A 15,369-nucleotide genomic window follows, 5' to 3' on the forward strand; every position below is an offset into this window, starting at 1 on the left:
GCTATTATTATCCTCATCAGGGAGTGCTAAAGGGCGAGTTAATGTGGGGGGCAAAGTGAGTTAATGGAGAAGCTATGTAGCTGACCAAGCAGGGAGGCAAAGGCGTTTTTGCCAAAGTGGAGAGAAGACAGGGCAGGATAGGCTCGAGCAAAGGCTCAGAAGAGATGGGGACCAGGACCTGGGCATTTAAGCCATACCATTTCAAGACAATCCCAGTGGAGAGTTTTCCTGATGTTTTAATTTTAAAATCTAAAGACTTTGCTGGCCCCTGCTTCATGATATACAGTTGATGACTGCTGTGATTGTAATAGCAATTTTATGATTTTTCCCAACCATCATTTGGCAAGGATTACACAATTTCAAGAATTCAAACTTCTGTTGAGTGTTTCAGAGTTCTTTTTTTTTGAGACGGAGTTTCGGTCTTGTTTCCTAGGCTGGAGTGCAGTGGCGCGATCTCAGTTCACGGCAACCTCCACCTTCCGGGTTCAAGCGGTTCTCCTGCCTCAGCCTCCCAAGTAGCTGGGACTACAGGCATGCACCACCACGCGCAGCTAATTTTGTATTTTTAGTAGACACGGGGTTTCTTCATGTTGGTCAGTTGGTCAGGCTGGTCTCGAACTCCCAACCTCAGGTGATCCACCCGCCTCGGCCTCCTAGAGTGCTGGGATTACAGGCGTGAGCCACCGTGCCCGGCCGAGTGTTTCAGAGTTGTATTAAAGATATTTTAGCTCTCACTCCAGGATGTTTGTGCTGGGACATAATCACCAGCACTACCTCATCATCACCACTAGGGGAACTAGAACCAAAGGAATTATCAAACTGCTAGGTACAGTGTTTACCTTCACTGATTGCTGCTCAATATTGTATTAATGTTTTTTACTTTGAAGCATATTTGTTTTATGCATATTGAAATGCTTTAAAAATTCAAACTCTAGTAGAATATAGGAAATTAAAGAGTCCTACTGATTCTCATCTCCAATTCGCACGCACAAAATTGTCACTATTAATAAGATTTTTGTGTATCTTTCCAGACATTTTCATGTTTAATCTTTAATTTAAACCCATGATGTGTCCCCTGACTACCACTCTAACTTCATCTTCTACCACTCAGATCTTCAAACTTGTCAAACTTGTTCCAGCCTCAGGACCCTTGCCCTCACTACATTATCTTCCTGGACACTTTCTTGTCGTTCTTTTTCATTTTTCTTTTTTTTCTTTTTGAGAAAGGGTCTCACTCTACTGTGGCCCTGCTGCACTCACTGCAACCTCTGCCTCCTGAGCTTAAGGGATCTTCCCACCTCAGCCTCCCTGGTATCTGGGACTATAGGCGCATGTCACCACGCCCAGCTAATTTTGTATTTTTTGTAGAGATGGGGTTTCACCATGTTGCCCAGACTTGTCTTGAACTCCTGAGCTCAAGCAATCCACCCACCTTGGCCTCCCAAAGTGCTGGGATTACAGGCATGAGCCACCGCGCTGGGTCCTGGACCACTTTCTTTTCCCAGGTTCCCTCACTCAGATGTCAGCTCCTATGTCACTCCCTCACAGAGGCCTGTAGTGACACCCATCAAGTAACTATTGCCCAATCTAAGTCACTCTCCATCACTATGTTTGAGATTGCCTTGTTCATTTAAGTGCTTGCTTACTTATTCACTGCTAAAATGTGACCTCCATGAGAGCAGGAGCCTGGCTGCTTTGTTTACTTCCATATCCCAAGTGTCTAGAATGCAAATTAAGAACTCAAAAGCATCTATTAATTGAAAGAAATGAATGAAAGAATGCTCTCTATACTATTCTGCAACGTGTATTTTTCACCTAATCTTATACAAGTTATATTTTACTATATGTGGATAAGCTTTATTTCAGTCATATCCTTAATGTTTTAAATTTGATTTTCTTTGGGTTACACATTCACATGGCTCAAAAAACAATCTGAAAAGGTATTCAGTGAAAACTCTCACATCCACTTCTATCTCTCATCTGTCTAGTTCTCACACAACCAGGTAACCGTTCCCATTAGTTTATTGCATATCCTTTGTGCAAATACATACATATATATTCTTTTGGTTTTTGTTTTTTGTTTTTGAGACGAAGTCTCGCCCTGTTGCCCAGGCTGGAGTGTAATGGTGTGATCTCAGCTCACTGCAACCTCTGCCTCCAGGGTTCAGGCGATTCTCCTGCCTCAGCCTCCTGAGTAGCTGGGATTACAGGTGCGCAACACCACGCCTGGCTAATTTTTTTTGTATTTTTAGTAGAGAAAGGGTTTCACCATGTTGGCCAGGCTGGTCTCGAACTCCTGACCTCATGATCTGCCCACCTTGGCCTCCCAAAGTGCTGGGATTACAGGCATGAGCCACTGCACCCAGCCATACATACATATTCTTTTTTTTTTTTTTTTTTTGAGATGGCATCTCACTCTGTCACCCAGGCTGGAGTGCAGTGGCATGATCTCGGCTCACTGCAACCTTCACCTCCCTGGTTCAAGAGATTCTTCTGCCTCAGCCTCCCGAGTAGTTGGGATTACAGGTACCCACCACCATGCCTGGCTAATTTTTGTATTTTTAGTAGAGACGGGGTTTCACCATATTGGCCAAGCTGGTCTCGAACTCCTGACCTCATGATCTGCCCGCCTCGGCATCCCAAAGTGCCAGGATTACAGGTGTGAGCCACTGCGCCCAGCCATATATATTCTTTTTTTTTTTTTTTTTTATGAGATGGAGTTTCCCTCTTGTCACTCAGGCCGGAGGGCAGTGGCACGATCTCGGCTCACTGCAACCCCCGCCTCCCAGGTTCAAGCGATTCCCTTGCCTCAGCCTCTTGAGTAGCTGGGATTACAGGCGCCTGCCACCATGCTCAGATAATTTTTTGTATTTTTAGTAGAGACGGAGTTTCACAATGTTGACCAGGCTGGTCTCAAACTCCTGACCTTGTGATCCCCCTGCCTCTGCCTCCCAAAGTGCAGAGATTACAGGCATGAGCCACTATGCCCGGCTCATATATATTCCTATTCTCATTTTCTTCCCTTTTTGTACAAACTGTTCTGCACCTTAATTCTTTTAACAGCATAGTGGTATTTATTTGTAAATTTTATAAATGGATTTATAATTTATTTTACTCAATTCTGTGTTGATAGACTTTTGGTTGTTTCAGTTTTTGTTATCGCAAACAATGTTGCAGTAATCATTTTCATGCTTAATAAATATATGGTACAATAAATTCCTAGAAGTGGAGTGGCTAAATCAAAACGTACATGTATGTTGAATCATAAAATATCTTAGCGGCCAGGCCCAGTGGCTCACACCTGTAATCCCCGCACTTTGGGAAGCTGAGGCAGGTAGATGAGGAGGTTAGGAGTTCAAGACCAGCCTGGCCAACATGGTGAAACCCCATCTCTACTAAAAATACAAAAAATTAGCCAGGCGTGGTGGTGGTCACCTGTAATCCCAGCTACTCGGGAGGCTGAGGCAGGAGAATCTCTTGAACCCGGGAGGTGGAGATTGCATTTAGCCGAGATCACGCCATTGCACTCTAGCCTGGGCAACAGAGCAAGACTCCATCTCAAAAAAAAATAAAAATAAAAAAAATAAACGTTTTATCAAAAAAAAATGGTTTTATAAAAAAAAAAAAAAGATCTTAGCAAACTTCCCTCCAAGAGAGCTGCCACAATTTATAACTCCCACCAATGGTGCACAAGAGCACCAACTTTCCCACACTCTTGCCCAGGATAAATATTTCAGACTTTTAAATGTTTGCCACTCTGATGAGTGAAAAATGGTTGGTCACTGTTGGGTTTTCTTTTACATACATGTTTAATATCACTAATTTTCTCTGTATCATTCCAATTTTAGCATATGTGCTGCTGAAGCAAGCACTGCTCACTGTTGTTTTAATGTTCATTTCTCTTATGAAGTTGAATATCTTTTCATAGTTTAAAAATTGATTTATTGACATGTCATTAACATACCGTACAATTCACCCAAAGTGTACAATTCAGTGGCTTTTCGTATACTCACAACCATCACCACAATCAATTTTAGAACATTTGCATTACTTCAAAAAGAACCCCATATACTTTAGCTATCACTCCTGTGTCTCCCTATTATCCCCCACCCTAAGCAAACACTAATCTACTTTTTGTCTCTATTGATTTGCCCTTTCTAACATTGCATATAAATGGAATCATATAACATGTGGTCTTTTGTGACTAGTTTGTTAGCATAATGTCTCAAAGGTTCATTCATGTTGTAATATGTATGAGTACTTTATTTCTTTCTTTCTTTGTTGAGACAGGGTCTTGCTCTGTCACCCAGGCTGGAGTGCAGTGGCACCATCATGGCTCACTGCAGCCTTGACCTCCTGAGCTCAATCGATCCTCCTGCCTCAGCCTCCCAAGTAGCTGGGACCACAGGGGCATGCCACCACATCCTAATTTTAAAATTATTAAATTTTTTGTAGAGGCAGGGTCTCCCTATGTTGCCCAGGCTGGTCTCAAACTCTTGCCTCAAGCATTCGTCTCTTGCCTCAGCCTCCCAAAGGGCTGGGATTATAGGTGTGAGCCATGGCGCCTAGCCACTTCATTGTTTTTTTGTGTTTTTTTTTTTTTTGTATTTTTTTTAAGACGGAGTTTCCCTCTTGTTGCCCAGGCTGGTGTGCAATGGGGCGATCTCAGCTTACCACAATCTCCACCTCCCGGGTTCAAGCGATTCTCCTGCCTCAGCCTCCCGAGTAGCTGGGATTACAGGCATGCACTACTATGCCCGACTAATTTTGTATTTTTAGTAGAGACAGGGTTTATCCATGTTGGTCAGGCTGGTCTCGATCTCCTGATCTCAGTTGATCCGCCTGCCTCAGCCTCCCAAAGTGCTGGGACTACAGGTGTGAAGACTGCGCCAACCTTACTTCTTTCTTTTTTATGGCCAAATAATATTCCATTGTATGGCTATGCCATTTTTTTAAATCCATACATCAGTTAATGGACATTTGTGTTCTTTCCACCACATTTTTTTTTTTGAAACAGGCAAAGAAAGACCTTTAGAACTGTGAAGATGAGGCTGGGCGCGGTGGCTCACGCCTGTAATCCCAGCACTTTGGGAGGCCGAGGTGGGCAGATCACAAGGTCAGGAGGTTGAGACCATCCTGGCTAACATGGTGAAACCCCGTCTCTACTAAAAAAATACAAAAAATTAGCAGGGTGTGGTGGCGGGTGCCTGTAGTCCCAGCTACTTGGGAGGCTGAGGCAGGAGAATGGCTTGAACCCAGGAGGCGGAGCTTGCAGAGAGCCAAGATTGTGCCACTGCACTCCAGCCTAGGGGACAGAGTGAGACTCCGTCTCAAAAAAAAGAAAAAAAAAAAAAAAGAACTGTGAAGATAAGATGAGATAACACTAAGCAGTTTCCTTAATTGCTATAACTGAGCTGTCAAATCTGGTGGGCAAAACATCAGGCTAGGAAGCACAACACTCAAAATATTGACCTTGCCACAGAAGGGTTATCTGTGTAATACTGATGTTTCTCAGCTTTGAGCTTTGTTTACCAAATGTAAACTGACTTCTACCTACACATCTACTACGGAAGAATGAAATCAAATCAAGTTCTTTGAATTGCTTGGAGAAATGCTTACCAACTCATTTAAAACTGCTGTATTCTATAAGAAAAAAGTAGGAGGAAGAAGTTAAATAAAGAAATGTGGGGCCGGGTGTGGTGACTCACACCTGTAATCCCAACACTTTGAGAAGCCTAGGTAGGAGGACTGTTTGCAGCTAGGAGTCCAAGATAAACCTGGAAAACACAGTGAGACTCAGTCTCTACAAAATATTTAAAAATTAGCCAGGCATGGTGGCACACACCTGTAGTCCCTGCTACTCCAGAGGCTGGGGTGGGAGGATTGCTTGAGCCCAGGAGGTGGAGGCCGCAATGAACAATGATCATGCCACTGCACTCCAGTTTGGGCAACAGAGTGAGACTTGAGGCCTAGAGAGATTAAATCAGAATCTCTCAGGCCTCAGAGTAGCACTTAGTTCACTTAAAGCTACTGTGCTTTGTAAGAACAAAGGAGGTCGGGTGCGGTGGCTCATGCCTGTAATCCCAGCACTTTTGGGAAGCCGAGGCAGGTGGATCATTTGAGGTCAGGAGTTCAAAACCAGATTGACCTACATAGTGAAACCCCGTCTCTACTAAAAATACAAAAATTGGCCGGGCGCGTTGGCAGGCGCCTGTAATCCCAGCTACTCAGGAGGCTGAGGCAGGAGAATCGCTTTGAACCCAGGAGGCAGAGGTTGCAGTAAACCGAGATTGTGCCACTGCACTCCAGCCTGGGCGACAGAGCAAGACTCCTTCTCAAAAAAAAAGAAAAGAAAGAAAAGAAAAGAAAAAAAGAAAGAAAAAAAGGAAAGGGAAGAAGCCAACTAATAAAAAAAAAATACCTTCTTCGCCAGACACGGCGTGGTGGCAGGCGCTTGTAATCCCAGTTACTCAGGAGGCTGAGGCATGAGAACCCAGGTGGCAGAGGTTGCAGTGAGCCAAGATTGCGCTACTGCACTCCGGCCTGGGCCACAGAGCAAGACTGTCTCAAAACAAACAAACAAACAAAAACCCTTCTTCATACTTCCTGTGGAATATATACCCCAAATATCAAGTATGCCCTAATATCGTTGTCTACCCTTGAGTATTTATGGCAGACTAAATCAGCTTGACTTATAAACAGAACATGCTAACTAAAATGCAATGAGCCTTTGCCTGGAAGGTAAGAGGTGGGCTCCCAGCTCACTCCAAAAGCAGCCTTCACTGCACATGAGAATAAGCTGAGGAGTTTTAAAGATATTCATACCTGGGTCCCACCCCTACAGATTCTGTTGTAGTTCGTCTGAAATCCAACCTTAGCATTGGGATTTTAAGAGCTCCCCAGAGGATTTTAATAGCAAGTAAAGGTTGGAAACCACCGCCAGCTGAGTTCCACCTGGGTTCCATTCTTGTGTCTTTACAATGATCCCTTTCAAAGATTCACTGAGTCTTTTTGCTGTCATTGTCTTCTATTGCATTATTTAAAATAAACTTTGAGACCTACATTGAGATTTAGATTTTGGTATCTTCCCAATCCCTGGGTCACACAAGGGCCTGAGGGCTGACCTAGAAGCAAACCACCCTCCTCCCCCTGACCTTGTGGTCTAGAGGAGATCAGCCACTCTGGATACAGTCCTCCTGCAGCTCAGTACCCTTTTCCCTTGGCAGTGCCGTGGGTTTGCTTTTGAGTGTGTTTTCAGATGGACCTTCTTCCAGCTCTCTTAGTTAAGGTTTTGCATCTCCCATATCCCTTTGGTCTAAGAGGGAAAGAATGCATGTGGGAAGAACAAACACCTCCTTACCCTCCCCACCCCCAATCCCCGCCCCCTCCATTTGCACTGAAGGCTTGACTGGAGAGTAGGAGAAGTGAAAATCCCAATTTGATGGCAGTACTGAGCCATTACATTCTAGCCTCAGGCAGAACAAAGCTGCTTCCTACCATCCTGTTTTTTTGTTTGTGTTTGTTTTAATTTTAAACATATATTAATGTTTGACACAGCACCCCCCCCAAAAAAAGTCTCCTTTGACTTATTCATGATTTTCTGAAACCGTGTGATTTCCACCATATGTACTATGTACCCTGAGAGTGAGTTCAACGCAGAACTCATGTGCTGCCCACCCACCAAGTGCCCTACACTCTGCCAGCATTGGCGACCCCAGATGTTTAATTTACAGAATAAGGGGCCCTCCTCAAAACATTTAATTCAGTTACAGTACTGTTCTTCCTTGGACAGTGCAGACACACTGAAAATGTGAATTATAAGATGGTAAAATTCTGTGATGTAAGAGTATTAATAAATATTCTTTCAATGTGTAAATTTGGAAATAATGCAAATTTCCCAAAGTAAAAAATTATCAAAATTACATTATTTCAAAGCCGGGCAGCTAATTTAATTGCTAATATTGTTGCTGCTTTAGCTGCAAAACAGAAATGGTTTCACCACAGTCCTTTGTCCAAATTAGTCTTGAAAAATGTAAGGTTTGAACTGATGTGGGATCTTCAGGAGCACAGGTGATGCCCAAATGAAATAGTTGTACGTCTGAGTTTTCTATAGATGAATTTATTTCCCTAGCTGGTCTATCTCCCTTACCTCCCACTATACACACTCCAAAGAAACACAGAGCTTTTACCCAGGGTTCAACAAATCTATGTTGAATTTAAGAGTAATTAGAGGAAATGGTTCATTTCACATGGTAATCTGCCTTTCTGAAGTAATGAGGTGGTAAAAGGCCTACAGGAAGTCAACGTAATGGAGATTAGGAAGCAAGAATTTGACTGCAGTTATCCTGCCCTGTCTAGTCAGGGGACCCTATTTCTGGCAGAGTCTCCTTGGTCCCAAGGGGGAGGCCAATGTCTACTGACCAGGCCAATGTCTACTTAGCCTGGTGCTAAGGGAAGGGAGAATAGGAAGGGAGTAAAGATAATAAGATAAAGTCGTTGACTGGGAGGAACACATATTTCAGGGTCAAAGTCTTCAAACTGGAGAACAGGAAGACTTTCTAGGGGATACACAGATGTGCAGAATTTTTTTTTTTTTTTTTGAGACGGAGTCTCGCGCTGTCGCCCAGGCTGTCGTGCAGTGGCGCAATCTCAGCTCACTGCAACCTTCACCTGCCAGGTTCAAGCAATTCTCCTGCCTCAGCCTCCCGAGTAGTGGGATTACAGGTGCCCATCACCACACCCAGCTAATTTTTTGTATTTTTAGTAGAGACGGGGTTTCACTATGTTGGCCAGGCTGTCTCGATCTCCTGACCTTGTGATCCACCTGCCTTGGCCTCCCAAAGTGCTGGGATTACAGGCATGAGCCACCATGCCCGGCCTAGATGTGTAGAATTTTAAGAAACTCTATTTCCACACTTTCAACTTCCTTGCATACCCTCCCTAAAGCATGTCTCAGGCTATCCTTCCTATTTCCCCGCCGTAGCAGCACTCATCCCACTTTACAAAAAAAAGTCATTCCCAACCTCCATCCTGAATATGACTGCAGTGTGACAAAGTCCCAAGTGTGAGAACTTCTAAGATGCCAAACCAATGGACAACTGGAAACAATCCCTTTAATGTTAATCAAGATACCATGAATCCTCCTTAGAGCTTCCTGCCTTTCCCAGACTTAAATGTATTTCTGTTTAGGGTGAATCACTGATTTATAAAGGAGATATATTGGTCTTGTTGGGATGTTCTGAAATTAATGTGGACTGTGGAAGCGGTGGTGATCTTGAGACAGAGTAGGGACACCTTTCTTAGGGGCAAAGGCGCCTGCGGGCCCCTGAAGCACAAAAATAAAGGAAAACCTTGAGTTCCTTCAAGGGAAATTCCAGGCACCTAATTAGCCTTGAGAAGTAAAGGAGCAACTTCATAATCAAGAAGATAGCTTAAAGCCATAGTAAAGGAAGTTAAGGCCTGGCACGGTGGCTCGCGCCTGTAATCCCAGCACTTTGGGAGGCTGAGGCTGGCGGATCACTTGAGGTCAGGAGTTCAAGATCAGCCTGACCAACATGGAGAAACCCCATCTCTACTAAAAATTCCAAAAAACTTAGCCAAGCATGGTGGCGCATGCCTGTAATCCCAGCTACTCAGGAGGCTGAGGCAGGAGAATCGCTTGAATCTAGGAGGCAGAGGTTGCAGTGAGCTCAGATCATGCCACTGCACTCCAGCCTGGGCGATAAGAACGAAACTCTGTCTTAGAAAAAAAAAGAAAAAAACAAGGAAGTTAAAAATCACAGGATGTTTGGTTCCCCTATAGAAACTAAAGAAAACATCTGAACATACGTGTCTGAGTTGTTTTTCAGAAATCCAGATCCCCACCAAACGGATCCTCTGGCACAAAGACCTCAGACAAAGGAGAACTGAAGATTGAACTCTGACCAAATTTGTTCCAAATTTCTTCCTGAGGGGACTGGAGGAAGTCACACCCACAAGCGAGAGCTAACATAGGAGAAAAAGTCTTGGAATCTACCTATGACCTGGAAGCGCCCTCCTCCCCCACTTCAAGATATCCCACCTTTTTAGGCCAAACCAATGCATAACCTCCATCTACTGGTTTATGATTTTGCCTTTAACTTCTGCTTTCCTGGAATTCACCCCTGCCTTTAAAAATCTGTACCTGCAGGCCAGGTGCAATGGCTCATGCCTATAATTGCAGCACTGTAGGAGACCCAGGCAGGTGGGTGGTTTGAGTTTAGGAGTTTGAGACCAGCCTGTGTAACATGGTGAAACCCTATCTCTACAAAAATCTACAGGCATGGTGGCTCGCGCCTGTAGTCCCAGCTACTTGGGAGGCTGAGGTGTGAGGATCACTTGAGCCCAGGAGTTTAAGGCTGCAGTGAGCCATGATGGAGCCACTGCACTCCAGCCTGGGCAACAGAGCAAGACCCTGTCTCAAAAAAAAAAAAAAAAGTCTTTACCTGCAAGCCATCTGGGAGGTTGGGACTTAAGTGTTAGCTGCCTGATCCTCTTTGCTGCTGCCCCACAAATAAACACCTTCCTTTCTCCGCTTCAAAACTGTATAGATAGGGCAAGCAGACTCTAGTTCCATTTGATAACATTTGCATTGCCCAGGCTAGACTGCAGTGACTACTCACAGGAGCAAGCATAATACACTGCAACCCCAAACTCCTGACCTCAAGTGACCCTCCCTCCTGAGTAGCTGGGAATACAGGCTCATGCCACCATGGCCCACTCATAATTTCATAATTTCTTTTAGAGTGCATGTGGATTATTCAATTCAGTAGTTAGAACATTTTTATTTTATTTTATTTTATCTTATTTATTTTATTGTATTGAGATAGGGTCTTGCTGTGTCACCCAGGCCGGAATGCAGTGGAGCTATCATAGCTCCCTGTAGCCTCAAACTCCTGGCCTCAAGCAGTCCTCCTATCTCAGCCTCCAAATGTGCTGGGATTACAGGTGTGAGCCACTGTATCCATCTAGAGCATGTTGTATTAAATCATATCAATAATACTTAGTTCCTTACTATAGGCCATCTGTATTCATTTTTTATATTACGTTAAAAATTACTATGAATCATGAATTTAGCAGCTCAAAACAACACACCTTTATTATCTAAGTTTCCAGAAGTCCCAGCAGGATTTAACTGAATTCTCTACTCAGTTCTCACAGGCTGCAATCAAGGCGTAGTCTGGGGGTCTGATTTCATTTGAGGCTCGGGATGGGGTCCTTTTCCAAACTTAGTGGTCGTCAACAGAATTCAGTTCTCTCAGTTGTAGGCCTGAGGTCCCAGCTTTCTTACTGGCTGTCAGCAATCTGCTCTCAACCCCCAGAAGCCCTTGCAGCTCTTTGCCTCATGGCCCTCTCACAGCCACCCTCACAACATTGCAGTTTACTTTATAACCAGCTGGATATTCTCTCATCTGCTGAAACAGTCTTGTATAATATAACCTAATCAAAGGATCGGCTATCCCATCACGTTCACAGGCCCTGCCCACGCTCAAGGAGAGGGGATCATACGGGGCATACACACCAAAGGGGCAAGAATCTTGAGACAGGGGCCATCTTAGAATTCTGCCTACCACCCCATCGTATCTCCATTTTTGAAATGTTTGATATTTTATGGTTTCTATGGCCAAAAAGTAAAATCATATTCCAGCAGCTGGAGTAACTGATTAATTTTCAGGCCGGGCACAGTGGCTCACACCTGTAATCCCAACACTTTGGGAGGCCAAGGTGTGTGGATCACCTGAGGTCAGGAGTTTGAGACCAGCCTGGCCAACATGGTGAAACCCCATCTTTACTAAAAATACAAAAATTAGCCATGTGTGGTAGTGCGTGCCTGTAATCCCAGCTACTCAAGAGGCTGAGGCAGGAGAATCATTTGAACCTGGGAGGCAGAGGTTGCAGTGAGCCCAGATCACACCACTGCATTCTAGCCTGGGTGACAAAGTAAGACTCTGTCTAAATATATATTATATATATATAATATATATATTTTAGCATTATATGACTTTCTCTTTTTTGCTAAATACATAGGAAAAATGTGTGGTGTTATCTAAAAAATTAATGGCATAATATTAGGATTCATTTTAAATTAATAGAATTATTTTATGGTTTTTATTCAACTGTTCCTAAAAATCAAATACCAGGGATCAATATGTACATATGCACATTTGCTTATATATATGCCACATCTTTTTTTTTTTTTAAGACACAGTCTTGCTCTGTCGCCCAGGCTGGAGTGCAGTGGCTCAATCTTGGCTCACTGCAACCTCTGCCTCCTGGGTTCAAGTGATTCTCCTGCCACAGCCTCCCGGGTAGGTGGGACTACAGTCGTGCACCACCATGCCCAGCTGATTTTTATATTTTTAGTACAGACAGGGTTTCGCCATGTTGCCCAGACTGGTCTCAAACTCCTGTCTTCAAGCAGTATGCTCGCCTCAGCATAATAAGGGTCTTATATTTAAGATTATGTTTTATCATTTGCAATACAAAACAGATTAATTTATGTTACACCAAAGTCGATTTAATCTGGCCGAATTCGGGGGCTCATGCCTGTAAATCCCAGCACTTTGGGAAGCCGAGGCAGGTGGATCACCTGCAGTCAGGAGACCAGCCTGGCCAACACGGTGAAACCCTGTTTCTACTAAAAATACAAAAATTAGCCAGGTGTGGTAGCATGCACCTATAGTCCCAGCTACTTGGGAGGCTGAGACAGGAGAATCGCTTGAACCCAGGAGGTGGAGGTTGCAGTGAGCTGAGATCTTGCCACTGTACTCCAGCCTGGGCATCCAGCGAGACTCCGTCTCAAAAAAAAAAAAAAAAAATTAACATACATGACTCATTATGTTTCTATTTGACAACATTTTTGTATACATTGAGCTACATCTGGAATTTCAAGGTTTTGAGAAAAATATATTCAAGGTACTTGATAAGATAAAATAATTTTATCAAAAACTTTGTGTTGTATAGAATTTAACAATATTTAATATCCCCCAAACTTCCTTAAACAAGGTGCCTCTAATAGAAGAAAATTAGGTACAGCTAATGGTTGGTAAGTCTTGCCAAACTTCTCACAAACTGAGAAAATGAATGACTCTAATGACTGAGTAAAAATCCTTTTGAAAGTAAGGTAGTTTCCAGTTATTTGCTTTCCAAAAGCCAAAGGAGAAACTAATCAAATTGTCAGCTAATAGGTCATTAAAGACAATTTTTGAAGACAGAAAATTATGTGATTTTTGGCATATAACTGGAAAGTTTGAAGAATTGAGTGACATAGTTGTAGCAAAATTCCCTCCACTTTATATATGTGAAACAAGGTTTTTCACAGCTGATTGATGCTGAGCCTGTCTCATTCTAGTAATGACTAATATTCATTTACACACACTTAAATTAATTTTAAAAAATTATTTATTTATTTTATTATTATTATTATTATTATTATTTTGAGATGGAGTTTTGCTCTTGTCGCCCAGGCTGGAGTGCAATGGCACGATCTCAGCTCACTGCAACCTTCTTCTCCCAGGTTCAAGAGATTCTCCTGTGTCAGCCTCCCGAGTAGCTGGGATTACAGGTGCCCGCCACCATGCCCAGCTAATTTTGTACTTTCAGTAGAGACAGGGTTTCACCATGTTGGCCAGCCTGGTCTCAAACTCCTCACCTCAGGTGGTCTACTGGCCTCGGCTTCCCAAATTGCTGGGATTACAGGCGTGAGCCACCATGCCTGGCCTTGAAAAAGTAAAGTCCAATTCATCTCATTAAGAAACGTACTTCCAATAAAATTTTATTTTCTTAGTAATTATGAATATTATATTAATGTTATTTTGGCAAGTTGTATAATAATAATAATGGTGATGATAGCTCAATCCAGAAGAAATATTTTTAACACTCAGGAAAAACATTTTTTAATTAAATTTCCATTTAAAGATATCTTTTTATAGTAGAGAAGTATGATATGTGATCAGTAAAAGACTTTTCAAGATTTCTGTTACCGGCCAAGATAGAATAAGCCTATCTTTTTTTTTTTTTTTTTTTGAGATGGAGTCTCACTCTGTTGCCCAGGTTGGAGTGCAGCGGTGCGATCTCGGCTCACTACAACCTCCGCCTCCCGGGTTCAAGCAATTCTCCTGCCTCAGCCTCCTGAGTAGCTGGGATTACAGATATGGGCCACCACACCCAGCTAATTTTTGTATTTTTAGTAGAGATGGGGTTTCTCCATGTTGGTCAGGCTGGTCTCTAACTCCTGACCTCAGATGATCCACCCACCTCCGCCTCCCAAAGTGCTGGGATTACAGGCATGAGCCCCTGAGCCTGGCTGGATCAATTTCTTGAAGGATACAAGCTATCTTGTATCTGCAGTTAAAAAATTATCCAAGGTAGACAACTCCAGTCTATCAAACATTTAAGGAAGAAATAATACCAGAAAACAGAAGAGAAGGAAACACTTTCCAACTCCTTATACTTTTTAGTCTGTGTTACTCTGATACCAAAACAAGAGAAAGATATAAGAAATTAAAACTACAGATCAATGTCACCGATGATCATAGATACAACAATCTTCCACAAAATATTATCAAATTGAATCTGATGGGAGTTATTTTGGAAATGCAAGGCTAACTCAACATTCGAAAATCAATTAGTGGGCTAGGCATGATGGCTCACGCCTATAATCCCAGCACTTTTGGAGGCCAAGGCAGGAGGACTGGTTGAGCCCAGGAGTTTGAGACCAGCCTGGGTGACAAAGCGAAACCCTGTCCCTACAAATATAAAAATTATTATTATCATTATTATTATTATTGAAACAGGGTCTCACTCTGTCACCCAGGCTGGAGTGCAGTGGCATGATTACACCTCACTGCAGCCTCAACCATCTTTCCTGGGTTCAGATCGTTCTCCCACCTCGGCCTCCTCAGTAGCTGGGACTACAGGCCCACACCACCACACCTGGCTAATATTTGGTTTGGTTTGGTTTGGTTTTCTTTTTGTAGATACAGGGTTTTGCTATGTTGCCCAGGCTATTCTCAAACTCCTGGGCTCAAGCGATTTGCCTGCCCTGGCCTCACAAATTTCTGGATTATAAGTATGAGCTATTGCACCTGGCCAAAATATTTAAAAATTAGTCAGGCATGGTGGCACATTCCTTGTACAGCTATTCAGGAGGCTGAGGCCAGAGGATCGCTTGAGCCCAGGAGGTTGAGGCTGTAGCAGTAAGCTATGGTCACGCCACTGCACTCTGGCCTGGGTGACAGAGTAAGACCCTGTCTTAAAAAAACAAACAAACAAAACAAAACCAGGCCGGACGCGGTGGCTCATGCCTGTAATTCCAGCAATTTGGGAAAGGCTGAGGTGGGTGGATCATGA

At 43.3% G+C, this 15,369-nt stretch overlaps 1 pseudogene, besides 2 other annotated features; it reads right to left on the reverse strand.

The window, feature by feature from the left end:
• RNU6-523P (RNA, U6 small nuclear 523, pseudogene) lies at positions 3,819-3,872 on the reverse strand (annotated as a pseudogene).
• Positions 6,164-6,685: an enhancer, noted in NCBI's record as "H3K27ac-H3K4me1 hESC enhancer chr10:69620921-69621442 (GRCh37/hg19 assembly coordinates)". NCBI's record gives its function as "activates a minimal SCP1, AML or CMV promoter by ChIP-STARR-seq in naive H9 embryonic stem cells {active_cell/tissue: H9 hESC(naive)}" and the evidence as "EXISTENCE:reporter gene assay evidence [ECO:0000049][PMID:30033119]".
• Positions 14,110-14,236: a silencer, noted in NCBI's record as "fragment chr10:69628867-69628993 (GRCh37/hg19 assembly coordinates)". NCBI's record gives its function as "represses an EF-1alpha promoter that drives an FKBP-Casp9 reporter gene in an ReSE screen in HepG2 liver carcinoma cells {active_cell/tissue: HepG2}" and the evidence as "EXISTENCE:reporter gene assay evidence [ECO:0000049][PMID:32094911]".

Source organism: Homo sapiens, chromosome 10 (genome assembly GCF_000001405.40).
Source record: "Homo sapiens chromosome 10, GRCh38.p14 Primary Assembly".
NCBI classification, from domain to species: Eukaryota; Metazoa; Chordata; class Mammalia; order Primates; family Hominidae; genus Homo; species Homo sapiens.